The sequence below is a fragment of the Homo sapiens genome, chromosome 11 (genome assembly GCF_000001405.40).
Source record: "Homo sapiens chromosome 11, GRCh38.p14 Primary Assembly".
In the NCBI taxonomy this organism is placed as follows: domain Eukaryota; kingdom Metazoa; phylum Chordata; class Mammalia; order Primates; family Hominidae; genus Homo; species Homo sapiens.
Window position 1 is genome coordinate 45,639,119 of NC_000011.10, and position 27,730 is coordinate 45,666,848.

The 27,730-nt window shown below is 53.3% G+C and overlaps 1 protein-coding gene and 1 long non-coding RNA gene across 5 annotated transcripts, besides 2 other annotated features; one reads left to right on the forward strand and one right to left on the reverse strand.

The window, feature by feature from the left end:
* On the reverse strand, positions 8,571–26,504 carry CHST1 (carbohydrate sulfotransferase 1). 4 transcript variants are annotated; one of them, XM_006718356.5, is made up of 5 exons: positions 26,060–26,504; positions 13,403–13,488; positions 12,875–12,972; positions 10,612–11,847; positions 9,761–9,972 (listed from the first exon to the last, which is right to left on the reverse strand). In XM_006718356.5, exons 4-5 carry the CDS (start codon positions 11,803–11,805, stop codon positions 9,868–9,870), a joined length of 1,299 nt encoding a protein of 432 aa, XP_006718419.1. In that variant the 5' UTR covers positions 11,806–11,847; positions 12,875–12,972; positions 13,403–13,488; positions 26,060–26,504; the 3' UTR covers positions 9,761–9,867. The 4 variants fall into 4 exon arrangements, with proteins under 4 accessions (NP_003645.1, XP_006718419.1, XP_016873948.1 ...); XM_017018459.3 differs by having other exon boundaries at positions 13,403–13,494; NM_003654.6 differs by having other exon boundaries at positions 8,571–11,847.
* Positions 12,194–13,579, forward strand: LOC124902666 (uncharacterized). The gene is made up of 2 exons (XR_007062662.1): positions 12,194–12,436; positions 13,351–13,579. It is a non-coding gene; the product is annotated as an uncharacterized LOC124902666 (long non-coding RNA).
* Positions 21,811–22,312: an enhancer, noted in NCBI's record as "H3K4me1 hESC enhancer chr11:45682479-45682980 (GRCh37/hg19 assembly coordinates)". NCBI's record gives its function as "activates a minimal SCP1, AML or CMV promoter by ChIP-STARR-seq in naive and primed H9 embryonic stem cells {active_cell/tissue: H9 hESC(naive and primed)}" and the evidence as "EXISTENCE:reporter gene assay evidence [ECO:0000049][PMID:30033119]".
* Positions 23,693–24,346: an enhancer, noted in NCBI's record as "H3K4me1 hESC enhancer chr11:45684361-45685014 (GRCh37/hg19 assembly coordinates)". NCBI's record gives its function as "activates a minimal SCP1, AML or CMV promoter by ChIP-STARR-seq in naive H9 embryonic stem cells {active_cell/tissue: H9 hESC(naive)}" and the evidence as "EXISTENCE:reporter gene assay evidence [ECO:0000049][PMID:30033119]".

The following is a 27,730-nucleotide window of genomic DNA, read 5'->3' on the forward strand; positions in this document are numbered from 1 at the left end:
TCAGCCAGGGGATGGGGGTAGGGACAGAAAAACATATTTGAAGAAAAAATGGCTAAAACTTTTCTAAATTATTTTTTATTTTATTTTATTGCTGTTTTTTTTCTGAGACAGAGGCTCGCTGTGTAGTGCAGTAGCCCTATCCCAGCTCACCACAAACTCCACCTCCCAGGTTCAAGCGATTATCCTGTCTCAATCTCATGAGTAGCTGGAACTACAGGTGCATGCCACCATACCCAGCTTTTTTTGTGTGTGTATTTTTAGTAGAGACGGGGTTTCATCATGTGGGCCAGGCTGGTCTTGAAATCTTAACCTCAAGTGATCTGCCCACCTCAGCCTCCCAAAGTGCTAAGATGACGGGCAAGAGCCACCATGCCCAGCCAACTTTTCTACAGTTGAAGAAAACTATAAATTCACAAATACAAAAAGCTCAACAAACCCCAAACAGGATAAAAATAAAGGAAAAACACACCAAGGCACATGATAATTAAAACTGCTGAAAATTAGTGATACAGAAAATATCTTTTTTTTTTTTTTTTTTTTGAGATGCAGTTTCACTCTTGTTGCCCAGGCTGGAGTGCAATGGCACGATCTCAGCTCACCTCAACCTCCTCCTCCCAGGTTCAAACGATTCTCCTGCCTGAGCCTCCCGAGTAGCTGGGATTACAGGTATGCCCCACCATGCCCGTCTAATTTTTGTATTTTTTAGTAGCGACGAGGTTTTTCCGAGTTGGTCAGGCTGGTCTCAAACTCCCGACCTCAGGTGATCTGCCCACCTAGGCCTCTTAAAGTGCTGGGATTACAGGTGTGAGCCACTGTGCCCAGCTGCAGAGAAAATCTCAGGAGCAGCCAGTGAAAACATATATAATGTGTAGATAAAAAAACAAGATGAGAATTATGATAGATACCTCATCAAAAACAATACAAGTCAGAAGACACTGAAGCAAAAAATCTTTAAGGCACTGAAAGAAAAACTATCAACTTGAAATTCTAAATCCAGGGAAAATATCTTCTTAAAATTGAAGGCAAATACAAAGATTTTCAGACAAAACCTGGGAGACTTTATTATCAGCCACCCCACACTCCAAGAAATATTAAATAAAGTTCTTCAGGCAGAAGGAAAGTGATACCAGGTGGAAATTTGGATCCACACAAAGGAATGAAGAGCACTCAACAATAAAAAGAAACAGATCACTGAAACATTCAACACCATGAATCTCAAGAGCCATCCTAAGTGAAAGAAGCCAGACACAAAAGACTACATAGTGTATGATTGCATTTATACAAAATTTTAGAAAAGGTAAAACTAAAGTGACAGAAAGCAGTTCAATGGTTGCCAAGGGCTGGGAATGGGGAAAGGAAACGGCACGAGGGAATTATTTGGCTTGATACAGATATTTTATCTTTTTAGTGTGGCAGTGATTACATAACTATACATTTGTGAAAAACTCATCAAACAGTATACTTCAAATTAATTAATTTTATTGTGTGCAGATGATGTCCCCCCAAAATTGATTATTTTGGAAAAAATAAAATAAAAGACCACATATAATGCATTTGTTTTAAAAATTCATCACAGCTGGTCACAATGGCTTGTGCCTATAATCCCAGCTACTTAGGAAGCTGAGGCAGGAGGACTGCTTGAGGCTAGGAGTTCAAGATCAGCCTGGGCAATACAGCAAGACCTCGTCTCTTTAAAAAATCAAAATGCATCACAACAACATAGAAGTTTAAAAGAAGGAACAGTGGCCGGGTGTGGTGGCTCACGCCTGTAATCCCAGCACTTTGGGAGGCCAAGGCCTGTGGCTCACGACCCACTCACGAGGTCAGGAGATCGAGACCATCCTGGCTAACACAGTGAAACCCCGTCTGTACTAAACATGCAAAAAATTAGCCGGGTGTGGTGGCGGGTGCCTGTAGTCCCAGCTACTCGTGAGGCTGAGGCAGGAGAATAGCTTGAACCCAGGAGGCGGAGGTTTGCAGTGAGCCAAGATCGTGCCACCGCACTCCAGCCTGGGCAACAGAACGAGACTCCATCTCAAAAAAAAAGAAGGGAATGTAATTAAAGTGTTTTAAGGTATTAAGTGTGTTTCCCAATAAAAGGATAAAGATATTGATTAACTTTACACTCGGATAAACTGAGAAAGGAATCTGCAGTTTCTAAGGTTGCCTACTAAAGGAATAGAAACAGATATATAATATTCTAATTAGTGGAGGGAAGAAAATATAATAAGAAATACTGAATGAAAATGAGAGATGAAAAAGCATACAATGGATGAGAAAAGTAGGACGCAAAAATGAGATGGCAGATATAAATGCAAATACATTAGTAATTGCAAGACATGTGTAAACTGAAAGAATAAGAAACCACACAAATAAGAAACCAAAGGAGGCTGGTGTTGCTATACTGACATTAGACAAAATAGATTTTGAGGCAAACACATACTATGGTCAGCAGGAACACTTTATAATGATAAAAGGTTCTGTTCACAAGAAATATACAATAACTTTAGATTTGCATGCACCTAAAATTACAGCCTCAACATGATACAGCAAAACATGGCAGGGAAACATGGAGAAATAAATAAATCCACAGTCATGGTATGAAATCTTTAACACATTTTCTCAGTAATCAAAGGAATAAACAGATTTTTTAAGACAGGAGAGACAGATATTCAGTCAATTTGTTAAACTTTACTGGATGGACATGAGTAGTCCTCTATATCCAATGGCTACAGAAGACACTTTCTTTTCAATCATTGTCCCCCAGCTTTAGCTGGGACATTGAGGCTCTAGGAAGATTACTGCTTGGTGCAGCAAGATGCAGTGAAACAAGATCTCAATTTGAGTCTCCTCTCACCTGAATCACTGATTTTCCACTTTTTCTGGATAGCTCTAAATGTCTCCTGCAACCCTTAGTGCAAATGTTCCTGTCCCCAAAGCCACACCCAGCATCTCAAAGCCAGCCCAAAGCCAGCATGACATTGCTGAAGGCTGAGGTGTTATAAGGAAGGAAGAAGGCAGGAAGCAATGCAGGACAAAGGCATTGTTGCCCACAGCCCAGCTGCTAGGGTTTGCCCGAGGAGGATGTCCACAGACTTTCGGTGTGGTTGGCTGGCTGTTCCCAGACCCAGTCAAGGAAGCTGGAAGATCCAAGCTTAAGACAGCTCTAGAATCTCCATCACTGCATACCTTAGACAGTGGGCTCCCTGGGCCTTAGGAGGAAAACATTCTGAATTCCCCATGCTAAAAACAGTCCTTTGTGGATGGAAAAGGAGCACCACAAATACAGATGCCTCAAAGAGGCAGAAAGGCCAAGTTCATTCGACTTAGTGGTGATAGCTGGCAGCTGGCTTGGGCTACCCCAGGAGGCCATTTTTCCAGGAAGCTAGATGATCTTGGGAATGTGGTCAGAAAATGGCAAGTTAACTCAGCCAACTTCTCCCTGAGGGTTGCTGATCCAACAGTGCCTGGAACCTGCAGGAATCTTCCTGTAGGTGGGCCAGCTTATCCCTACGCTTAGTGGTCATTCTGTGGGCATTTCTGGCTGTCCCTCACTTCTCTTCCCTAGTTAGCTGTTGGCTCTAGGCCTTGACTAATAAGGAGGTGACACTGTCTGCTGTGCATTTTATTCAGGTGTAACTCTGGGCATTGGTAGCCGTTCAAATTAGGAGAGCTCACTAAAAAATGCATTCATTCAACAAACATTCATTAAGTTGCTATCAAATTCCTGGCATCTTGCTAGGCACTGTGGATAAAATGATGATGATAATGATGATGATGATTGCTAGCATTTATTGAGCACTCACTATGTGCCAAGCACCATTCTATGCATGTAAATGCATTACTTTACTCAGTCTTCATAGTAGCCCTCTGAGGCAGGCTCAGAAAGCTTAAGTGCTGCGCCCAACATCACACAGCGAGTGGCAGAGATGAAACTGGAATCAGAATCACGCTTTACATCACAGAGTTTCCCAAGATGAATAAGACCCCATTCAATCAGAAGTCATCAGCAGGTGGCATCTCCAAGGAGCAGAAGACGCAACTACAGGCAGGCAGGGTAGGTAGATGTTTCTAGGGAGTGCTTCAAAGCTCTGTGACGCTTGGGGATTGTCCCATGTGTCCCCTGCTCAGGAAGACTGTAGGCTCCCAGGCCAGCCAGATCTCTAACATGGGCATTAGTCTCCTGGCTGCACCACACACAGACACAAAGCCCACCCTGCTGATGACTGCAGCTCGACTCCCTGGTGAGCCCAAACCCTGGCTACTTGCCCATGAGGACTTGATTCCAACCTGCTTTCCAGTGCTCAGGAGGCAGAAGCGTGTGTTTTGGTGTGTGAAGGTGCTTCCCCAACATCTTTTCCTTCCCCAGAAGTAAAGACATTCCCGCAGGGAGAAATCCTTACCCAGCAAGTGCTTTTCCTGGGAACAGGATGATTCAGGAAGGGCAGGTTTGTTCCTGCACAATACCCTCTAGGATGATAGGAAGTGGGGCCCAGTGAGTGCCCCAGAATCCCAGGGAAGTGTGGCTAGGAGGCCAGTGTTTGTTGCTGGCAAGGAGAGGAACAAGGGTGAGCAGGTGGGAACACACAAACAGAGGAAGTCCGTGATGAAAAGAAATAACAGGACACAACCCCAGACCCATGGGGTGAAAGGGGCCCTGAGTCTGGAGACAAGAGCAGGAAGTTACTCCTTAGGATCTAAGTCATCAAGACATGAAACACAGAGGCGGTGGGGGCAAAGCCTGTCCTGCCGACATGGGGCTCTGACCACCATTTCCTGGCGAGAAAGAGGTGCCTTGGCATCAGCAGGGACAGTCACTGTGGAGGTGTGACTAACAGGAGGGGGAAGTGTGCTTCGTAAACTGTCAAATTCTATACACATGTTTGTTGGCTGTTATTCTCCTTCAGAGTGTTAGCCTTGGAAACTGTAACAAGCAGCAAGGCAGGTGATGGCATCGTGACAAAGAAACAGGAGAGCCAATGCTGGTCTGTAGAGTTAGAGTTGCTGGCTGTGGGGGAAGGATGTGGACTCTTGGAACAAAACTGAGCTCAGCCTCCTCTAAATTGTGTGAAACAGCCTGTGAGGGCATGTGCTGCTGCAGGTCTCATTCAGATTCCTTGGAGGCGTTACCCACTCCCAAGTGAAGGCCTTGGACAAGACAGCTCTTTTATCAAAGGGGGAACACCTGTTTTATTTATTCTTTTATCCATTCAATCGCTGTTTACTGGACACCTATTTTGTGCTAGTTCCTGTAATAAAAAGTATGATTACAACTGTAGTAAACACTATAAAAGAGATATACAAGGTGCCATAAGGGTCTATAATCCAGACATGTAAGGTATATAGTCTGCTATATAAGGGCCTATCATCGGGATAATTGAACTAGTCTTGTAAAACCAAGGAAGTGTTGATAATGAAGCTGAAATCCAAAGAGTAGGGAGATATCAACTGGGTAAAGAGGAGACCAGGAACAACCCAGGTATAAGGAACAGTCTATGCAAAGACCTGCAATGGGATAGAGAAAGATGTGTATCAGTTAGCTTTTATTCTGTACCAAGTCACTCCAAAACTTAGTGGCTTAAAACGACATCCTTTTATTTTATTTTATTTTATTTTTTTTGAAACAGAGTCACACTCTGCTGCCCAGGCTGTAGTGCAGTGATGCAACCTCAGCTCACTGCAGCCTCCACCTCCCCAGTTCAAGAGATTCTCCTGTATCAGCCTCCCACTGGGATTACAGGTGTGCACCAGCACACCCAGCTAATTTTTATATTTTTAGTAGAGACAGGGTTTCACCATGTTGGTCAGGCTGGTCTCAAACTCCTGACCTCAGGTGATCCACCCTTCTCCACCTCCCAAAGTGTTGGGATTGCAGGCATAAGCCACCATGCCTGGCCTCATCCAGGCAATGTTGTAGGTCAGAAATTTGGCTGGGCTCAGCCAGATGGCTCCAATCCTCTGGGTTAGGTTGTGGCTGATCTCAGCTGGGGCTCACTCATGCATCTTCAACAGTTGCCAAGTCAGTGAGGAACTGGCTGATCAATGGCTGGGGCTCCTCTTGGTGGGCTTTTCTTCTTCAGCAAGCTAACCTGGGCTTCCTGCACATGGCAGTTGAAGGCTTCCAAGAGGCAGCAAGAAATAGCACACTCCAAAGCTCAAGTATTTTCACATCTCTGCACTTGCTACTGTTCCGCTGACCAGAGCAAGGCATGTGGCGGAGCCCAGAGTCCACGTGGGAAGACACTACTAAACAGTGAGGGGACAGGGAGGCATGAACAAACTGGAGGCTGTAACTGCAACAATCTACCACTGTGTGTTCATGAAATCACCAGAAAGCAGGAAGGCTGGAGAGTGAAGAGTGGAGGGAACCGTGGTACTGGATGAACCGTGGTACTGGATGAACCGTGGTACAGGGGCTAGAATGTGCAGGCTTCAAACAGTGCTGGGAGAGTCTGGTCATTATCCTGAAAGCAGGCAAGCTCTCTGGTTCCTGAATTTGTCCTGTGGGTGTGGTCATAAAAACTAAATCCCTTGAAGGCTGAACTGCCCTTGGTGAACTGGCAAGCTTTCCAGGCCTGAGGAGCGGAGGGCGGGATCTGGTACACGGTCTGGCCCCACACACCCCTGCCCGAAGCCTGTGCAGCTATCAATGCCCCAGGCCTTCCCCACTCTGTGCCTTTTCACCACTTCTCCCTCAGCTTCTCCACAGGGCCAGCTCCTACATCCCCAGGAATCAATTCAGGCACCACCTCCTTAGGGAAGACTTCCCTGATTTCTCTAAGCGGGAAGACAGGTAGAATGAACCATAAGGCCTAGAAAACCAACATGTGTCTCATTACAGTGGCCTTGTGTTTTCCAGGACCAAGTTGGTATGGGGCCCAGCCCTGCCCTCGTGGGCAGAACACTTCACCCAGGCTCTCCCCATCTTTTTGCCTGTTTGCCTTCCACTAGACTGTGTTTCTTGAAGGAATGCCCATAATTCCAGTGCCTGCACATACTTGAATGAATGAATGAATGAATGAATGAATGAATGAATGAATCCATCACTAGACAGGGCTTTCCTCTGAAAGCTCCAGCCAGCTTTATTAAAGTCTTCTGTTACGGCAGTTGAGGGGAGAGTTTCTCTCCAGCAAGGCCAAGATCTCCAGTGTCTCCCACTTCCAACCTGAAGCCACCTACCCAGAGGAAAGAAGTCTCTGGCTCAGGGACAATCCACCACAGAGCAGTCAGAGGTGAAGACAATTGTCCCAGCATCACTTACTATAAGAGGGGAAGGGTCAGCCAGCTGTGGCCATTGGAGCAGGCTTTCCCTGGGTATTGGAACAGCCAGCCAGGGGCACTGAGTGAGGCCTATCTGGGCACTGATGCCATGAAGCCAACTGATGAGTCAACTTCCTCATCGCACCCTGGAGAAGCAGCTCCTGTGGATCACAGGCTGAGAAGAGACCCAGGACCTGGCCACCAGTCCTGACAGAGGCTTTTCCAAGTCAGCTGCCTGGTCTTAAAGAATGACAGTGTAAATTAGCCTGCCTGTCTTGTGCAGAAGAGAAACTGAATCTCAGGGAGATCAGCTTTGGACTCATCAGCCACCTTAACAGTTATGGCCACCCAGATAAAAGACTACATTTCCCAGCCTCCATTGCAGCTAAGAATGGCCATGTGGCCAGGCTGTAGCCAATTAGACATGAGTGAAAGTGATGTCTATAATTTTAAGGTTGTGCTCATACATGGCAGAGGTGTAGCATCCTTTCCTGTTTTTCTCCTTCCTGCTGCCTAGCAAGCCATCTAGGACCACATAGCCATGGGGAACACCTTAGAAAGATGGAGCAACAACATAGAAAGAGGCAGGACCCTGAAATCTGGGCACATGACCTGGGAGCCACCATACCAGACCTGAACAGCTTATGCCTTTTAAATGAGAGTGAAGGAAAATAAACTATCTGACCACCTCACACCCATTAGGATGGCTAACTTTCAAAAAGAGAAAGAAAATAACAAGAATTGGTGAGGTTGTGGAAAAATTGAAACCCTTGGGCCGTGTTGGTGGGAATGTACAATGGTTCACCTACTGTGGAAAATAGTATGGCAGTTCCTCAAATGATTAAAAATAAAACTGCCACATGATCCAGCAATTCAATTTCTGGGGATATGCCCAAAAATGGAAAGAAGGGTCTCAAGAGACAGTTGTACACCCATGTTCACAGCAGCATTACTGACAGTAGCTAAGACATGGAAGCAACCCAAGTGTTCATCTAGGGATGAACGGATAAGCAAAATATGGTATGTCCATACAGTAGAATATTACTCAGCCTTAAGAAGAAAGGAGATTTTGACATATGCTGCAACATGGATGAACCTTGAGGACATCACGCTAAGTGAGATGAGCCAGTCATAAAAGGACAAATACTGTATGGTTCCACTTACATGAGGTACTAGAGTAGTCAAATTCCTAGAGACAGAAAGCAGAATGGTGGTTTCCAGGCACTGGAAGTGGGTGGGTAGGTGGGGAGTTTTTGTTTAATGGGTACAGAGTTTCAGTTTTACAAAATGAGCAAAATTACAGAGCTGGATGGTGGCACACGTTGTGAATGTATTTAATGAATGGTACACCTTAAAAAGGTTAAGATGGTAAATTTTACATTCTGTTATTTTACCCCAGTAAAATTTTTTACAAAAGAAAATCACCTATCTTGATTAAGCCACTATTAGTTAAGGCATTTGCTAGAGCTGTTGAACTGTCTACATCCTCCTGACACATATAAAATAGCCCAGGACTGTGTTTCCTCAGGAAGCCCTTCTTCCAGTTGGCTAGGACCCCTGGGGCTGCCTAATCACCAGACACTCCTTTGTCCCAGGACAACAAAGCTGTGACCTGCAGCCACCCCAGGGGCAGGTTTTCTTGGAATAAGAGCTGGGGAAGCTGCCTGGAGCAACCTGCTAGATTGCCACGAAGGGAAGGGGAGGAAGCACAGCAGATTCTCTGCCAGTGTAGACACCAGTAAACCTGTACCAGTTATTCAAATAGTCAAATACTTCCAGGTCTGTGGGTCAGCAGCCACTGCCCTGAGGCACCCCACCCCTTGAAGTTTCCCCCTCCCTGGCTATCCTAGACCCAGACCCACCAACTAAATGGGTAACATTTAGCACAAGAAGGGATTCCAGGATGTCATTCTTACCTCCAGCTACTCTGATTCAGCAAGCCATACCACTTGTTAAAGACTTTGAACATTATCCCTGGCTATAAGTTACCCGGTCTCAACTGACTGAAGGAAAAAAAAAACGGCTGGGTGAGGTGGCTCAAGTCTGCAATCCCAGCACTTTGGGAGGCTGAGGCAGGAGGAATGCCCAGAGCTCAGGAGTTCGCGACCAGCCTGGACAACACGGTGAAACCCCGTCTCTACTAAAATCCAAAAAAAAAAAAAAATAGCCAGGTGTGGCAGTGTGCACCTGTAGTCCCAGTCACTCGGGAGGCTGAGGCGGGAGAACTGCTTGAACCTGGGAGGCAGAGGTTGCAGTGAGCCGAGATGGCGCCATTGCACTCCAGCCTGGGTGACAGAGCGAGACTCTGTCTCAAAACAAAACAAAACAAAAACCTAAACTAAACTCAGTGTTGAGGGTGACAAGAGTTCTGAAAGGCAGACTTGTCATTTAATTCCCACCTCCACCTCTCTCTCGCTGTCCTCCCCAAAGCTAGGAACACCCAGACCCGGCTGAGGCCCTCTCGTACCCATTCAGAATGTCCTGCAATCACACACAGAGATTATTGCACTCTTTTATTTACAGAAAACACAGATAAAGCATTTCAATTTCAATGTTCATTTAGCAAACTGATCCACTCTTTTTTTTTCTTTTTGGCACAAAGAAATATCACAGATGGACCCCGAGATCAATCAGAAGCTCATAAGATTCATCAGTCATCACTGGTCCAGGGGCGGCCACGAGACTCAGACAGACAGACAGCATCACCACAGACTGGAAACAGAAACAGGTCCACGTTCACCTCACAGTAAAAACCTGCCTCACCGACAGGCAAGGGCGGGCAGGAGGGGGCAGTTTCGCTGCTCTAAGGGGGGAAATGGGCGTCAGGGGCAGGAGGCAGGGATGGGGAAAGGATGGACACCATTCATAAATTAGAGACAAGTGGTCCTCTTGTTTGTATCCTCTTACCTTGAATAGTAAGACAGTGCAAAAACTAGATACCCGACCACTCACCCATTCAAAAGCTTGAGAAGTCGCCTCGCGAGTGCCCGTGTGCGTGTGTGGATGTGTAAATGTGGTGCTTGTAAACATTGTCACCGTCCGCACAGAGACCCAACATCCATGTGTCTGAATGGGGGGGGGGGGGGCGGGACCCTACTTCAGGCGCCCTCTGCCCCAGTGATTCCCGTCCAAGACGTAGTGCAAATTTCAGAGACAAAAAAGGGGCAGAAGGGAGTGGGGTGAGCTGGGGGCAGGAAGGACACGAAGATGAGGTGGGAGAGGGAGGGGTTAATAAGGCAACAGTTAAAAACGGTCCATTTTATCAAAACCGACACCTTGCGCCTCCCGCCCCCACCCGCACCGCCCGGGTCACGAGAAGGGGCGGAAGTCCCGCTCCTCCACCAGGCTGACCGAGGGGTTCTTCAGCTCCTCCTCCGAGGCGGCGATCTTGTAGCCCAGCTGGGCCAGCACCTGCTGGCAGGCGTTCTGGGCAAAGGCCACGATGTCGTAGGAGAGGCGGAAGCGCCACTTCTCGGCCGTGGCCGCCGAGTTTCGCACGGTGCCGTATTTGTGCTTGCCCAGGGTGGGGTCGCCCCGCGTGTTGTTCTGGATCCAGCGGGCCACGTGGCTGTCCAGCGGGATGCCCAGGAACCCGTAGATCTCCTCGGTCTTCTTCATAGGGTTCCGAGCCAGGTCCTCGTAGCGCACCAACATGTACTTGCCCTTGAGCCACGGGGGCCGCATGAGGCCGGTGGACACGGAGTTGGAGAAGTCCTCGCACACCGTGGTCAGCTGCGTCACGTCCAGGTTGTAGGGTTTCCTCCCGGTGCCGTACCAGAGCCGCCAGAGCCGGTACGTGTCGCGGAAGGTCTCGCTGCGCGAAGCCAGAATGCCGCGGGGGTCTCGGACCAGCTGGATGACCTTGAGGTTTAATCGCGGGTCTTCCACCAGGGCGCGCAGGTCGTTCACCTCGGGCACGCGCACCGTCTTGATGGCCACGTGGCTGCGCTCGCGGCACGCCTCGGCCGCCACGGTCAGGTTGAGTAGCCCGCACTTGCGCACACAGTCCCCCTCCTCCAGGACCAGGTCGGCTGGCCCCGGAGGGTCGCACACAGGCCGGGAGCAGAGGACCCGGCTGGCCCCGCGGCGGAAGATCCTGTCGGTGGTGTGGTTGACCGGCGGCGGCTTGATGTAGTTCTCCAGGAAGTAGAGGTCGCAGTCGTAGAGGCTCCGCAGGAGGTCGCGGCTGGCGCCTAGCATGACCCGCCGGTCGGCCGGGCTCTTGCCCTGGGTGAAGCGGGGGATGAGCGTGTTCTGGACGTGGTAGAGGGGCTCAAACAGGTAGAAGACGTCCAGGTGCTGGTTGAAGAGCTGGCCCACGAAGGAGGAGCCACTGCGCGTGGTGGCCAGGATGAGGATGTGGGTCTTGCGGGAGAGGTTGTAGGCGAAGGTGGGGCTCTCCTCGCACAGTCGCTCGGCCAGCCCGGCCTCTGCCAGCCCGGGGCAGGTGTGAAAGGACTTGGCGGTGAAGGTGCGGATGGCCGTGTACTGGATGGCAATGGAGGCCAGGGCAAGGAGGAGGACGGCCTTCCAGGAACATTGCATGGCTGGGCACCTTCATGGGGCTGCTTCTCCAAGGGGTGAGGTCTGTGGGCAAAGGCGGCCAGCGGTCAGGTGCCTCCACGGCGGGGGCACTGGCTTGTCCCTTGGAAGAGCCGGTCTCCAAGGGGCCCAGGGAAAGGCCCGGCTCCTGTCCAGTGCTCACCACACACCCTGAAGACCTAAGCAGCTTCTACACTAGACTACCGTTCTCTGGGGGACTCCTGGGAGCTTTGGGGAGCTGAACAAACATTCCTTGCACCCCAGGATTTAACCTGCGGACAGCTGCGGAAGCCTCTTATCCTGAGCTCTGAGTTCCTTAGAGGGGCCTCACGGGGCAAGAGCCTGACTCCCCCTACTCCCACACTGAGGAAATGACGAGGGCCTGCCTCAAACACTGCCCCTCCTCACTGCCAGCGTCTCCCACCCCCACGAGCTGGCGCCCAGTTCTCCAGGTGGTCCTCTTTCCTCTGTCCTCTGCCCATCCCTAGGGGAAAGAAGAGTCCCTATCAGATGCCTCCATCTGACCCCAATCCCCTGAGCATGAAGGACCCCTGCAGACCATGGTCGGTGAGCTGCCAGCACGGCCAGGCAAGGTGGACAACTGTGTCAAGCCCCTTCCAACTCATGGATGCAGGTGACCACTTACTCCAGATGTAGACTTCTGGGGCTTGTGGAGTCTCTAAGAGTCTCTGGAGCAGAGACAGATGTCCAGGGTCTGCTGAGAGGCAACCCTTCCCAGCACCCAGGGTCTGTTCCTGGTCTCTAGGGACAAGGGTCCAGGCCATGGAGGTGACATAATCCCCACTGACACAGAGTGAACTGGCCTGCAAAGAAGATCTTAGGGAGTCAGGGGCCTCCCCTCTTACCTCCTGTGTCCCCTCTGCCCACAGAAGGGGGACTGGGGAGGGACCATGGAGAAGCAGAAAGAGCGAATGGGGCCGCTGAGAGTCCGGGGCCAGGAGCCCACCTGAGCATCCTGTAGGCACCCTCTCTGGAGGCTGGCTCAGCTACCAGACCTGAGTGGGGGCTGGGGCTGCTCCTGGGGAGAACACAGGAGGGTTCAACCACTTACCAAAGAGGGACTGCTCCAAGCTGGGGAGTCCACAGCCACCAGCGTCTCCAGGCCCAGCTGGCAGTCCCAGCCAGTGCGGCAGCCCTGTGGCCAGCAGACTGCAAAAGACAGGGAGGGGAAGGGCTCAGAAGGTGGAGCTGGGGTCTCAGTGCCCCCTCCCCACTCCTTCCCTTCTGTGTCCTGTGCCTCACAGTCTGCCCCGAGGGCCAGGCAATAAGGGCTCTGCCTGCTCTCCAGATCCATCCCTGACTCAGCGCCCCAACCAACCCAGTGCCATCTCTGATCCCCTGAGTGTGGCCCTCTGAGTCCTGGACTGTATCCCACTCCTGTCACCTTCCTCGCCCACCCCACCACATTCTTCTAATAAACCGCAGTCCCTCTGCTCACACCAGAACCCAGCAGGCAGGGAGACTGGCAGGGTTCTGCAATTTAAATCCATGAAATAATCCTAACCCTTTAAAATTCAACTTGTGCAGCGATTCCCCAGGAAGTGGGTTAGCAGAAGTCAGCAAGGGCAGGGGGGCTTACCCCGGCCTCCAGGTCGAAAGGGCGCCTCCGGGAATGCAGCTGGGGAGAAAGTCTTCTTCCAACCACACCGAAGTGACACCAGCTACCTGAAACTCAAAGCGAAAGTGGACCAGGGAGCATTCCTGACCTCGATGCACCTCATAGAGTCTGAATTAAAACACCAAGATCGCCACATTATCTCAGTTGACAGTTTTGCGCCAAGCCCCTTCCCTGCATCAGCTCGTGTCCTTCTAGCAAGAACCAGATGTGGAAGCCAATATCTGCCCACTTCACAGGCGAGAAAGCCAAGGCACAGAGGTAGAGGAACCGGCCTGAGCTCACAGGCCTGCTTTAACCCCCATCTGGTAGGTTCCCCAGAGTCCAGCTCTTTCCCTCTAAGGAGATTTGGCTTCCTGTTCCTCCAGCTTAAACATATTTGGCCTGCAAACATGCATGCCATTACTGGCCCCAGCCCATTTGTGAATCAGCATGACGGGGACTGGGCAGGCAGATGCTTCTGAGACTTAGAGCATGTTCCTCCCCTTTGCTGTCTGGTCCTGTGGATCTGTTGGTTCACAGCTGATAGGGTGAACTCACGTGCTTTGTGAAGATTCTTCCCACACCCCACTATTTGACGTGACTCCTTTGGGAGCGGGTGAGTGGATCCTCTTTTCCCAAACCTGCAGTTCTGCCTGGCTCAGCTCACCCAACTTCTAGCACTGTGTTATTCCCTATAAGCACTCTCGGAGGTCAGGGTCCTCACTCCCACTGTTCAGATGGAGAAATCAAGTCGTGTTTTAAATATGAAATTTCACTTCTTTAGGAATCAGTACCAGATCACCAAGTAGCAGTCAAGAGGGAAAGGGGCAGTTTAGAGTCTTAGGAACTTCTCAACGTGATCAGAGAAAAACCACAATCCCAACCACACTGCATCCCACCCCGACCTCATCCCATAGTGGCAGAGGATGCTGGCCTCCATCATGGGGCTGGGCCAGGTATCCAGGGAGAAAGGCCCCTCTACTTTAAACCTGACCCCTGCAAGTGCAGGCCTGCTCTGCCCCAGTGCCCCATGGTGAATGTGAATGGCTTTCAAGAAACAGACAGGGAATGTCATCAATAATAGTGCCAGGTCATATTTTTAAGTCATTTAGGAGTCTGTTCTTTGGCTGCAGCATCATTTCATTTGGATACGCTTCCTTTGTATTTATTCACAGACATCTATCAGAACTCCTGTATGTGCCAGGCACTGTTCTAGATGCTATGGGTCAAATAACACCAAGGAAGGCAAGCACTTGCTGGGCATTCACAATGTTCCTCCCAGGCACATGCTTCTTTCACAGCCATCAGCTCATCGCACCCTCATGCCAGCTCTATGAAGTTGATACTGTCACAACCCCGTTTTACAGATAAGGAAGCTGAGGCCCTTCAAGGTTAGATAACTTCCCCAAGCTCACACCCATAATAAGGAGCCAGGATTCCAGCCCAGGCAACGTGCTAGGAAGTCCACGTTCAAATCCTTTTCCCTAATTCCACTCATATTACACCCTCCTTGGTCCTCATCAAGACAGGAAACAGAATCCTTAAGGAGTCTTCACTTAATTCTGGGGTTCCAATTCCAAAAGCAGAACTCACCCTAGGGTTTTATTTAAAGAGAAACATCTTGCCATCTTGCTGGGGAGGGGGCCGTTTAAGTTTCTTCCCCCAACTCTTCATCCACCCAGAGAAACTTAAGGCCAGGACTGGAAGCTGCTGCTTTGCTAATAAATCAGAAGTCACTGAAGCAGCTGGATGTTATAAATCCCTAAGACAGCGAGACTCGGCCTCACAAGGTGTGGCCTGGACACCGAGGAGGGGCATGTGTTTGAAGGCCCAGCCACAGGCCATTCCCTTGTACCCCCGGGGAGGGCAAAGCCAGGGAATGGGAACGGGAAGATGGGGGAAGTCCAGCCCTCCTGGAAATGTCCCCGCTCTCCCAGCCTGGCAGAGCTGGGCCTGGGGCTGGCCAAGTGTCCTTGGTATGCTAAAGGCATCTGCCCTGGAAACCAGAGGCCCTGGGGCCAGGTCCTGTTGTTCCCAAGGAAGCCTTAGCCACTACAAAAGACTCCTCAATGCCCTCATCCTCCAAGCCAGACTGTGGCCCCCAGAGCCCATCCCTAGGCTTCTAGCAACCTCTGGCCTGGCCTCCCTCTACCTCTGCTTAGTAAAAATCCAAGCAAACCTTGGACACAGGAGACCACGATCTATCATTTCTGTTAGAAAGCAGGCAAGTTGGTGAGCTTTCACTCCCAGGAGAAAGCTCAGATTTCATTATCAGTGAACTTGAGATGAGGGCACAGACTGGGAGCAGTGAACAGCTCTATATTGGAAAACTGTAATTCACAGAGCTCACCCCCTGAACCATGCCTACCTGGATCTGTCACTCAGCAGGTGTGTGGGCGTGGGTGATTCACCAGCTGTCCCTGAGCCTCAGTTTCCCCATCCATAAAGTGGTCATAGCTACAGTAGTGCTGGTAAGAATTGAAGGTCTTAAAGCATTTAGTCAATGCCAGGCATATAGACCCAACCCAGCCTCTGACACCAGCCCTGCTGATCCCAGCTCAGCCACTTACTGGCTGAGAGATCTTGGCTAGCTTTCTTCACCTCTCTGGGCCTCTATGTTCGCATATGCAAAAATGGGGATAATTATAACAAGGCTGTTGTGAGGACTAATTAGTGAGTACAGTGCCTGGTGCAGCGTAAGCACTCACTAAATGTCAATTAATATCATCATCACCAAATGTCTGGTTTGCTTTTTGTCTCAGGAAAGGGCCTAGAACAAATCATCCTGCAGCCCACGGGGTCTGGCTCTGCCCACCGCCCCTTCTTCCTGCAGCTCCTCTCCCGGCCTGGGAACTTCTTCCTGCTGAGCCACCGCAGTGGCTTTCCTGCTGCCCTCTAGTGACCACATCCTGCGGTGCAGCCTCGTAGTCCCGTCATCGCTGCTGTATTCAGAATTCTGGGGCTGTTGGCTACAACCTGATGTGAGGATGCAGCCAGCGGGAGGTGATGTTGCAAGATGCAGTGAGGTGTGAGGATGGCACGCCCACCCGGGCTGCGGCCTCTGCTCCGTGCACCCCCACCCTAGCCGCACCGGGAGAGCCCAGCTGCAACAGGCAGCCTCGCCTTCTCCCAGGGCCTCTCCCGCTCATCTCATGGTGCTCTGGCAGGGAAGGAGCACAGACCTGAATGTCACAGGCAGGACTGGCCCACATGGCCTCCGGATGGGTGACCTTGGACTCACCCCCTGGCCTCTCTGTGCCTCAGTTACACCATAGATCCAGTGATGACTGAAGGGCCTCCCAGTTCTAACCCTGGTGTTCTCTATAATCCCAGGAAGGCCCCAGACTTCATTCTCAGGGACAGTTGGGGCCACCCACACAGCAGACAGGGGGACCCTCCATTGGGAGTGGGAAAAACCCAGTCATCTTCCAGGAGGATTCTAGGGCTGGGCATTTCTGTCCCCCACCTCGGCCTGATCTGTGGCAGCGCCAGGGGGTGGCGGCCCTAGAACCTAGCGGTGCTGCCTTCTGCCAAGTTAGCCCCCACCTCTTGCTGTACAGAAATCCCATGAAACCCAGGGCTGAGGCCTTGTTTCACCTTTTCTGGGCCACAGACCTTTCGAACCACAATCCCTCCCCTTAGAAATGCCATTAGTGCCCACAATTTTACACACACAATTGAGAAGTTTCCCGAACCTCTGAAAGCCCAAGCTTGGGCACCCCACTCTTTCCTAGAAGCTTAACCCCTTCATTATTAACATGTCCAGGGAATTGTCTTTCCAACCGACTATATCAGAGAAGCCTCCTCAGACATGAACGTACTGATAGAAACAGTCACCCAGCATATATAAGTTTCAAAAGCTAGAGCCAGAAAACATGTGTGTAATAGTACACCACCTTTTCAGATTTGTTTAAGGAGGTGGACATGTATATTTGTATATATGCATAAACAATCACTGAAAGAGCTTGCTCTGAGCTAGTAACGGGAGATGTCCCAGAGGGAGGGGGCCTCGAGGAGACTAGGGTGGGAGGAGACACCGTTTACACTGAGCTTTTTGATTCAGTTTGAGTTTATTAATTTTGGGGGACACAGTGAAGCCACTCCATGTAGGAAGTAGAGGGGTGATTGATGACAGGGTGCGGTACTGAAAATCAGCCCTGGCATCTCACTGTGCCTCCCACCCTCCCCCCCCAGGCACTGCCAGCCAGCTCTCCCCACCCCCATTTCCAAGGCACCAGGGTCAAAGGCACTGCTTTTCCGCCAGAAATGGGCTTTGTCTGCTCAGGTGGGCCACTAAGGACAGTAGGCAGCTGGGGACTGCTGAGATACAGGGACGGAGCTGAAATAAAGCTGGATTTCAGAGGGGGCCTGTGGCTATGGGAGCAGCTGAGCCCTGGGATGGGGAAATGACTCTTCTCCCAGACATTTCTCCCTAAAAAACTACTGTGAAGCCCTGGGGGATGAAGAAGCAGCACAGTGAGGGCAGGGCAAGAACCTGAACATCGTCTTTCCGGACAAACTCAGGAGCCATGATGAATGGGGTCCCAAGGCTCTGGGGTCCCAAGAACTGGAGCAAGGGACAAGGGAATGGGACAGGGAGGGAGGAGCTGGCGAACAGGCCTCTAGGATGGAGACTGCAGAGGGGAAATGCTTACTCCCTGACTCTGACGTAGCCAGCACTAATCCCCCATGAATGTTTTAGTTAAGGCTAAAATGCATAAAACAGCAAGGCGTTTTTCTTCCTAAGGAAAATGAGGTGATGAAAATGAAGGCAAGGCAAGGGGAAAACAAGGGTATAAGAGTCTGAAACAACCAGAGGCCAAGTCAGTGTACAAGAGTCACACCATGTGTGGGCTACTGAGCTAGCCAATAGGAAAAGGGAAATATTTCATTTACTTGTTTCACAGGACCCATGAGATAAAGATTAAAGCATCCACTCAAGAGATGTCCAGCTATTCCTGACACTGAATCCAGTGCAAGATTTCTCCCAAGGGAGCTCTTACAGAGCTCTGTGCGTGTGCCACCATGAACTCGTCCTCAAGACTTTGTACCTAAGAAATCCAAAGACGAGTTTCATGGGACAGTGTCCTAGAGCATCCTTCCATGTGAGCAGTATGCCAACACACAATCCAACCAGTGCAACCTTCCAGAGGGGTGAGCTGCTGGGGTCCAGACTCGGCCTCTGTGGTCTAGGTCAGCCCAAGGGACCCCTTCTCTTTGGGGTCATGCCCACCTCAACTTGAAACACTGTGAGGTCTATGGACCCTCTCTCCAGAACCTGGACCACCACAAACATGGTACTTGCGAACAATCCCTAGAATCCCTGGGCCCCACAGGCAGAACCACTACATTTTCTGAGCACCTCCAGTAGGGACAAGCTCTCACAGTCATGGTTTCCAAGACAAGCACCTGGAGAGCAATTGGTCTACCGATTTTTCACCATCAGCAGGGCTGCCCAGCTGCCTCTTATGAGCTCTGGTGTCTCCAGGGCAGAGCACTCCAATGTCCACATGATACCCATGGATGTCTCAAGCCTCCTGGAGAAGGTACCCACAAGCATTCAGGGAGGCAGTCGGAGGGGTAGTTAGGCACCCCAGCTGTGGGGCCACAGAGGCCTGGATTTGAATCCAACTGCTGTTGCCTTATAGCTATGAGGCCTTGCGTGAGGCTCTTAACCTCTATAGGCCTCACTTGTCCTTATGTAGGAAATGGGAGAAACAATCACAGAATCTTTCTAATATTTGGGCAGTGAGACAGAAGGCCGATGGATGCCCACAGCTTAACACAGTGCTAGGCACAGAGCAAATGCTTATTAAGAGCCATGACCATGATTTTTATGGACTACTAAATGCACAGAGGGGCACCATTGGCCTGGAAATGTTTTTAAAAGTTAAAACAGATGCCGTAGCCTGCTCCACTGAAGCGCCAGCAGCCTGCGTGGTTGGAGACCCTGACTGTTGTGGCTGCAGAGACCTTGTCTGGGGTAAGGAAGGCACCTCACATCCTGCCGTGGAGGGTGGGAGTGGGAGGGGGGTGGTCCCAGGCCCGACCTGAGGGGAAAGTTTTCCCCAGCAGTGGGGAGAGTGACTGACCTCCTGGCCACAACACAAGGCCCCAGTGTGCCCAGCTCCTCTGGGGGAGGGATGAGTCAGAAGGTCCCGGTTCCCTGTCTCAGGCCAGTCCTGGTACAGCCTGGCTTGCGGTAGGCGGGACTCTACAGCCCCGACACTGGGCGGAAAAGCCCCGGTTTCCTGTCCCCCGCCCCACCGAGAAGCCACAGCCAGAGTTGGAATAGTACCGAGGCCCCACCCCCTGGACACCGGGGCTCCGGCCCATCCTCCCAGCTTCAAGGATGGGAAACATCAACAGGAGCTGGAACTCAGGCAGCTGCTGCCGGCCAGGCTGGGAGAGGGGCCCGCCTGTCTCTGGATCCAGGAGTCTCCAGCCTGGGCCACCTGCACATTAAGCCTGGCTGGCCCCGTGGGGACGAGGACTGGGGGTGGAGAATGAATAGGACCCAGAGCCTTGAGACTGTCACATGGGATGGAGGAGGCTGCCGACGTGGATACTCAGAGATGATCACAGACCTGGCTTCTGTCAGGGGATGCATCCCACAGGCCAGGGGCTACTGCCACCTTTCACAGACGAGGAGCAGCGAGGCTCAGCAAGTGTGGGAACTTGTTCAAGCACGCACAGCTAGTCTGTGGTGGCGCTAGGATTCAGACTCGGCTCTAAAGAATCCCAAGCCCTGGCCCTAATCACAGAGCTAAAACCCCCAGGCCACACCCAAGAGCATCACCCAGCTAGAGGGAGGGAGAGGGAGCACCGGGGCCAAGGTTGCCGCCAGGGTCCCAGGACACATTGGTGCCGATCTCGATCACAGCATTCACCCCCGACCCAGATACTGGTGCATCTGATACCTACTGGCCATCCCCCAGGGTCAGGTCCCTGGGGCATCCACTGGTGGGGCTTGAGGGCTGCCAATGCTGCCCTTCCTGGTTGGTTCCCCTGGCATACCAATAGGTGTGTGCCATCTCACCGCTTCCCAGAGGGTTTTCCCTCCCCAGCTGAACGACAAGAATGAAAATGATCCCAAGTGGGTGTGGACATGGGACTGCTGCACCTGATGGGCAGAAGTCCAAACACACTGTGCTCCCCACACAGTGACTCTGGGTCTGGGCTAGCCAAGCAGTGAGAACTTTGAGTGGTTTTATGACCAGGGAGCCCAGGAATGCCCAAATCCTATGCCACCAAAAAGACACCAACGAATGTCTTTATTACCATCTGGCCTGAAACAGTCTGGAATGGGGCATCGGGTTTGGGCTCTCTGCCCAGTTGAGGCTTCCCTGCTCTAAGCCCAAAGCTTATCACCAGCCCACAGCTGGTCCCAAGGATGCCCCTGGGCCAGGATGCCAGTGAGGCTCACCCTGTCACCCCTCTTCTGCTGGGTGAAGAGCATTAGGAGGGGCCACAGCTCCATCCACTGGGCATATGGCCAACCAGATGAGTGTCTCTGCCTGCCATCAACAGGGACCTCCATTGTAGAACACAATGGCGGCTGCTCATATACAGTGGCGGCCTAGCACCATGGTATGACCCTTTCACGCCTCACCTCATTGAATCCTCTCCACATGCCTAGGGGTAAGAACTACAGCTGAATCAATTTCACAGGTGAGGGACTGAGGCTCAGAGAAGTTAAGAGATTTGTTCATGCAACTCAGAAGTGGCAGGAAGAGAACGAACGGATTTCAGGCTGTGGGGGTTGTATGTGAGGTTCATATGCGAGTGAGGTCCTCACCTCTCCAAAGCTTTCCCTACAGGCTTCCCTTCCATCCCCACTCTGACCTCCTAAAATGTCCAAATTACTCCATTCAGCTTTGTTGACCCTTTTTGTGTGTCTTAAATGGCTAGGAGCAGCATAACAGCATAAACAGAGGGTGAAACCCAGACCTTGAGTCCTGGGCAGCCTTAACACTTTCTGATTCTCAGGTACTCAGGTGAAGGGAGGTCACACTCCTCTCCCAGGGCAGGAGAGGGGCTTAAATGGCATCTGGCATATAAAGCTGTTAGCATAGTGACTGGCACACAGTAATCTCTCAATCAGTGGTACCTTCAGAATGTCTGCAGCAGGCTCGTCTGTCTGTTTCACCTGCCCTGCAGAATCCTTGAAGGACAGCACCAGCCCCCCTCCATCTCCTCCCCTAGCTCTATCCTATCCCTCCTCCCCAAGTGCCCAGCTTGGGGCCCCCCACACACTGCAGGGACTCAGTGAGTCCTAAACAACTCACTGACACTGGCAGAAACTTGGGAGAAAAGAAGCCACGCCTTCTTCCCCATCCCTGAGAAGGAGACAGCATTCCTGACAATTCCCAGCCCACCGCCTTCCAGCTCTAATCAAGGAGCAAACACAAAGAGGGAATCTCTAAACATTTAGAAAACGCGGGAACCCTGTGCCCCCATGTGGCACCGTGGGGATTTATAAAGAACAAATCATGCCTGACAAACTTGATAGCTTTCTTGATAGAATTACAAGACGGGTAGATGAAGGAAACGCAGGCAGGGTAATATATCTTGATTTTTAGCAAAGCATTTGATACAGCGCCTCGAGTAATCTTACAAAATTAATTCAAACAGACTTGGCCCTAAGCACTTGTCATGGGGCATAATAGCAGGAGGGGGCAGGTCCCAAGGGCCCCGGGTGGAGAAGGCAAGCCCAGAGGAAGGGGCTGGAGGGCCGCAAGTCTGGGAGTGGGGGCAGGGCTGCCAAGCCTCAGCATTGGGTCAGATCTTATCTAACATCTTCATTAATGATCCTGAGAGAGGGAGTAAACAGTCCGTTAATGAAATTTGCAGAGGATATTAAATTGGAAGGTGTTGTGAACACCAATGAGGACAGCAAAACAGTCCAGAGAGACCTGCCGGGGGTAGAACCTTGGCAGGAACCGGAGAGCTGGCAAGGGGTGTCCATGGGGGTGCCGGCAGCAGCTGGGGCTGCTTGGAGAGCCAGCAAGAAGGGAAGGGCATCCCCAGGGCTGGTGTGTAGCTGAGAGAGGCTACAACTAGCTTGGGCTCTGGCCATACAAGCAAACCCCAGAAATCTGTTTTCCCATCTGTGAAAGAGAAGGGTCGGCAGCTAAAGAGCAGGCTTTGCAGCTCTGACAGCTGGTTGTGATGGGCATGGGATGTCTTTAAGGAGCCTGGAGCTGAAGCCCATCTTCCAGGAGGGGAGGAGGGAGCCCTGCCAAGGAGCAGGGAACCTGAGGGCCATGGAGGGGAGGGCTGCAGTGAGAGAGAAGGGCCGGTAAGGGAGACCGGGTAAGGCATCAGTGGCACTCAGAATCTCCCCTAGCTGCACTCCTCAATGCTGCTGAGGCAGGCACTGGGGCGGGGAGCCCCTCACCCTGCCCCAGCAGGCAGGACAATAACAGATCAGCAGCTGCTCAGGCTGGAGCCCCAAGCCTGTCCAGACTCTCAGGGCATGCTGGGAACAATTGAGCACTAGAGGTTCTAACTTGGGGTTAGGAGAGTGTGCAGGATCTGTTACCTTTCTGAAGAGCTCCCTGTCCCTCTCTGGCTGATCAAGAGGAAGACAGATGCTTCTCCAGCCAGATGAACCAGCCTCTCTAGGATCAGGGACAGTGGCCTGCCCCACCCCAACCCCTTTACTCTGTCACAGAGGGCCACCATCTCTGCCTGGACCTCTTCTGCTCCTCTCCATCTGCCTCAACCCCTAGGGGCTCCAGGGCTGACCCCTGCCTTTAGCGGGAAGGCTGAGGCAGGGAGCTGCCTGTCCATCTGGATTTACTCCCACAAGGCTCCTAGACAGGTAGGGTCTGAACAAAACCCAGGGCTGCCTAGCACTGTGCCAGGCCCTCAGGAACCTGAAACAAATGCTCCGTAGAAAAAAATGGCTGGCTGCTTCCCAGCGGGGGGTGTGCCGGGGCCGCTGGGGAGAGGCTGTTTCAAAGCAGGAGGCCAGCCCAGCAAGATGTCAGGACCACCTGCTGGGACCTAGGGTAAGGATCTAGGTGAGCATGCTTGGGGAGTTTCTTCCAATGTCCTGACTTAATTCCTAGGAATGATGCTTTGGAACACTTACTATGGCACCATTCTAAGTGTGTCTCATATATTACTGCATTTGACCTTCACAACAATGCTATCAGGTCGGTGTTATTTTCTCCATTTACAGAGGGGAAAACTGAGGCAGGGAGAGGTAGCCATGAGCCCGGGCACCTAGCCAGAAGGTCCGTGGGAGAAGCAGCAGCCTGCCAAGAGTCACAGCAGCAGCTGAGCGGCATCCAATGGCAGGACCCCAGTGGGTGGGGAGAGACAGCCCCTCTGACAGGGAGGCCAGAGCCTTGCCCACCCCTCACAGTCCCCACCGAAGGGAGTTGGTCCAAGTCCCGCCACACTTGTGGAGCCTGGTTTTACTATATGTTTCCCTTCTCCCCCACCACAGCCGCTACACCGAGTCCTCTGAACAAGTCTGTTTCCATGGAAACCATACAGTGACTCAGGGCTTCGGGACCTTCTCTGAACCAGATTATGAATATCAAATGCTCCCTCCCCACACCAATGCAGAGTGGAGTTGGGAAAGTAAAGAGAGATCCACAGCGGGCAAGGGAGGGAGACAGAGGGGTAGGCAAGGGGAATCTAGTAGGGCATGAACCTGGCCCCCAGGGAGGACCTGGCACTTGAGCCCCTCCTGCAGACTCAGTGGAACACAGAGGTACTCCTCCTCCGATGCGGCCTGACACACACCCCTCTATCAGTGTCGTCAGCACCACCCTTGCCCAGGAGCTAGGGCCCTGTCGGCAAGGGTTGGGGGGAGAGTGGTCAGGGGGATACATCCCTCTCCCAGCAGGGGCCTGTGACTCACAGAGATGGCTCAGGGGCCAGGACAGAGGGAAGCTTGACTTTGGATGTTGGGGAGGAAACCCCTGGCCAAAAGCATTGCAACTACTCAGCAAAGAGGGAGATTTGGATTTTAGGGAAAATGCGTTTCTGCTTTGAGATGGGGAAGCCGGGTGTTGAGTGAAGGGGGCTGGGGGTGGCACCTGGCCATGATTTTGAAGACCCAGCAGAGTTTGGGGGATGATTAGCAGAGACTTGCTCTCCCTGGTGCCCCTCCCCTCCCCACCCCATCACTGTGAAGCATCCTGGCCTAGGGCTGCTCACCGCCAGGATGAGGGACTGGCAACAGGAAAATCAAAGGTGCCATGCCAGGCTCCTGGCCTCCTGCAGGGGTTCAAGGCTCAAGGGCAAATCCACCCATTCCTTTCCCCAGCAGCTCCCTAAAGACCCGGTAGGGAGGGGAATTGAATAGGTTGGAAGCCTGATACCTCCCTGGTGAATGTGATGTGTGAGTCATGACGATGAAAGCACTTTGAAAAAGAAACAGGGTCATCATGATGCCTGGAAGTGTCCCCACTGCTGAGGACAGGAGCCTGGGAACTGCCTGCCCAGGTAAGGTCTCTGCCTGAGACAGCAGGCCCCACTGCAAGGGGCTGAGGAACCTCTGGAGGTAGACACCTGGCCCACTCGTTCCCACCTGCTTGCCTCTGACGTCCCTGTGCTGGTCAAAGCAGCTTCCTCCCAGCCAGGGTGCCTGACTCCTGCGCCCAAGCCTGCCCCCAGCTCCTCCCACCCCTCCAGAAGTTGCTGGACTGAATTTCTGTCCTTGACTGGACAGCCACCTCCCCTGCCCCAGCCTCCAGCTCCCTGTCAATGGCCGGCCCAAGCCCGTCTTCAGGCACCTGGACCCTAGGAGTGGCCCTTCCTAGGGAGTCCGCTGCCGAAGAGCAGTTTTAAGTCCACCAAGAGGAAGCCGGCCCCAGAGCTGAGGAAGGCAGTCCTGTGAAAGGGCAGGCCCGGGGTGGGGGAGGGGGCACACCTGAAATCAGGCCAAGGTGCCACTCCAGGACGACCCCCGGGTCTTACCTTCCTCAGGCAGCCTGGCCTTTTAACGCCCAGCATCCCAGCTAGGGTTACTCTGGGCTGTTACCGCGAAAGCCAGCACTGGGTCCCTGGAGCCTGGGAGGGGCTGATCCCCGGGTCCTACCCAGAGAAGAGCGGGAGGGTTGTTCCGGCTTTCCGTGGTGGGCTCTGCACCATCCGGCGGCTCCGGCCCCACAGGGGCCCAGCTCATCGCAGCGGTCTGGGTGCGGAGGCCGGGCCAGGGCTGGGAGCAGGAAGCAGGGAGCGGCGCCCCCGCCTCCGGGTGCAGCTGGGTTTGGAAAGTTGGTGCGGGCGCGGGGACCTCAGGGTCTCAAGGCGCCTCCGCAGACCCGAGCCAGGCGGGTCGTGGGACGGTGAGCCCGGAGCAGCCCCTGAGTGCGCTCCGCAGCGGAGGGGAGCCAAGCGCCTCGGGGGCCACCGCGCGTCTCAAGTTTGCTGCCCTCCTCGAATGGGGGCAGGGAGGGCTGAGGTGATCGCGGCGCTCACCGGCCACCAGCCCCGGCAGCCCCTTCCTGCGCCCAACACGCCGCCGTTCCTCGCCGCCGCCACCCCTCCGCTCACCGCCGGTAGCTGCTGTCCCCGAGCGGAGGGGCGTCTCCCACCGCGCCCGCGCCCCTCCCGGCTGCTGCGGCGGAGTGTCCGCTCCCGCCCGCCCCGGAGCCCGCGGGGCCCGGCCAATACCTGGTCGGGGACGCGCCGGGAGCAGCTGCAGCGCCCAGCGCCGGCTCCATCCTCGGGTCTGGAGTCAGGGTCGCCGGGGACCCGCGGGTGGCGGCGGCGGCAGCAGCCGCGGCGGCATCCTCCGCCTCCCGCGCCCTCCTCCTCGGCCTCCCTCCTCCCTCCTCTTCCTCCGACTCCGCGCGCGCCTCACGGGCCCCTCTTCATGGCCCGGGGGCGCGAGCCCGGGGCGGCTCGAGCAGCTGAGTGCGTTCTCTCCGGCCGGACGCGGGACCCGGGGCCGGGGCTCAGGGACCCGAGAGATGCCGGGACAGGGGCCGGGACCCGGAGCGCCGCAGCCCCGGGCGCCGGAGGAGAGCAGCAGCCGCAGGCACCAGAGCCTCTCGGAGCGCCCGCCCGCGTCCCCGAGCCAAGAGCAGCGGCGGCAGCGGCGGCTACAGCTCCGAGCGAGCGGCAGGCGCTGCGGTCCCGGCTCCACCCCCGAGCCGCCCGCCCCTTCTCCTCCCCACCCCTTCGGCGCGCGCCTTCCCGCCCCCCGCGCCGCCCCAGCCGCGAGCGCCCTGGACACCCACTCCGCAGCCAGGCTCCGGAGCCCGCCCCCACCCACCCGCCGGGGGCAGCCACGCCCACCACCCGGACTTCGGGCGGCCGGCGGGCAAGGGCACCGGCTGTCTCTGGCACCTCTCCGCGTAGCCTCCCTTCCCCTTACCCCCGAGGGCGCTGCTGGCCGGGCCGCCAAAGCCTTTCGCCCCCCCAGCGCCCCTCGCCGCGGAAGTCCTGCTGGAGTCCCAGCCTGGCCCCTGGCCCAGCTGTCCTTTACCTCTTGCCCAGCCAGCGGCACAGAGGGACTTCAGAACCCAGAACTGAAGCCAACCATCTCTGTGTGCAATACCCTGACACACACCCCTAGCCTTTCCTCCTTCCCCGCCCCTCTGCTTCTCAAGTGTGGGGATGAATCATTTGTCCCCGCTGCAGTTGTCCCTCTTGGGCAGGGTCAGGGGGTGTCTTAATGGGACCTTAGAGTGGGTTTGCTGGCTGACCGTCTTCTAGGCCGCTCCTCCACACTGCCCACCTTCTTCCTACCAGACTGCCCCTGGCTTTCTAGGTGGCAATCTGGAGCCACCACTGCTTTTATGGATGAGGGATGGGGACAGAGCTGGCCAGCCGAGCACCTTGGGCCTGTATCCTCTGCACAAATATTGACTGAGCATCTTCCACAGGCCTGGCCTTCATGGGCACCAGGGACTGGTTGATGAACCTCTCAGAGTGGAGTGGAGGAGAAGCAGGGTGCATGAGCAGAGCAATATCATGTGATCAGTGGCCCCTGGGCTGGAGAGGACGGCCAGGAGTCCCAGCTCTGCCACCACATCTGACATGACTGAGGCTGCCCACCCCAGTGGCCTGTTTCCTCATCTGGAGACTAGGAAGGTGCTTTGTCTGGCTGAACCTCTGATGCTCCTCAGTTCTGACCAAATGGTTATTTCTGAAGCAGAGGAACAGTCAGCCTTCATCTCCACCTGGAATCTCTGATTCCCGACTATAGCTCTCCATCACTCCTGGACTGGGGCGCAGAGAGCAGTGGATGGCTTGAAAACTCCAGGCATTCTGGGAAAGCCTCGTCCCCGATGTATGGGCAAGCAGCTGCTGCCTCCATCCCACACAGTGAAGCACAGC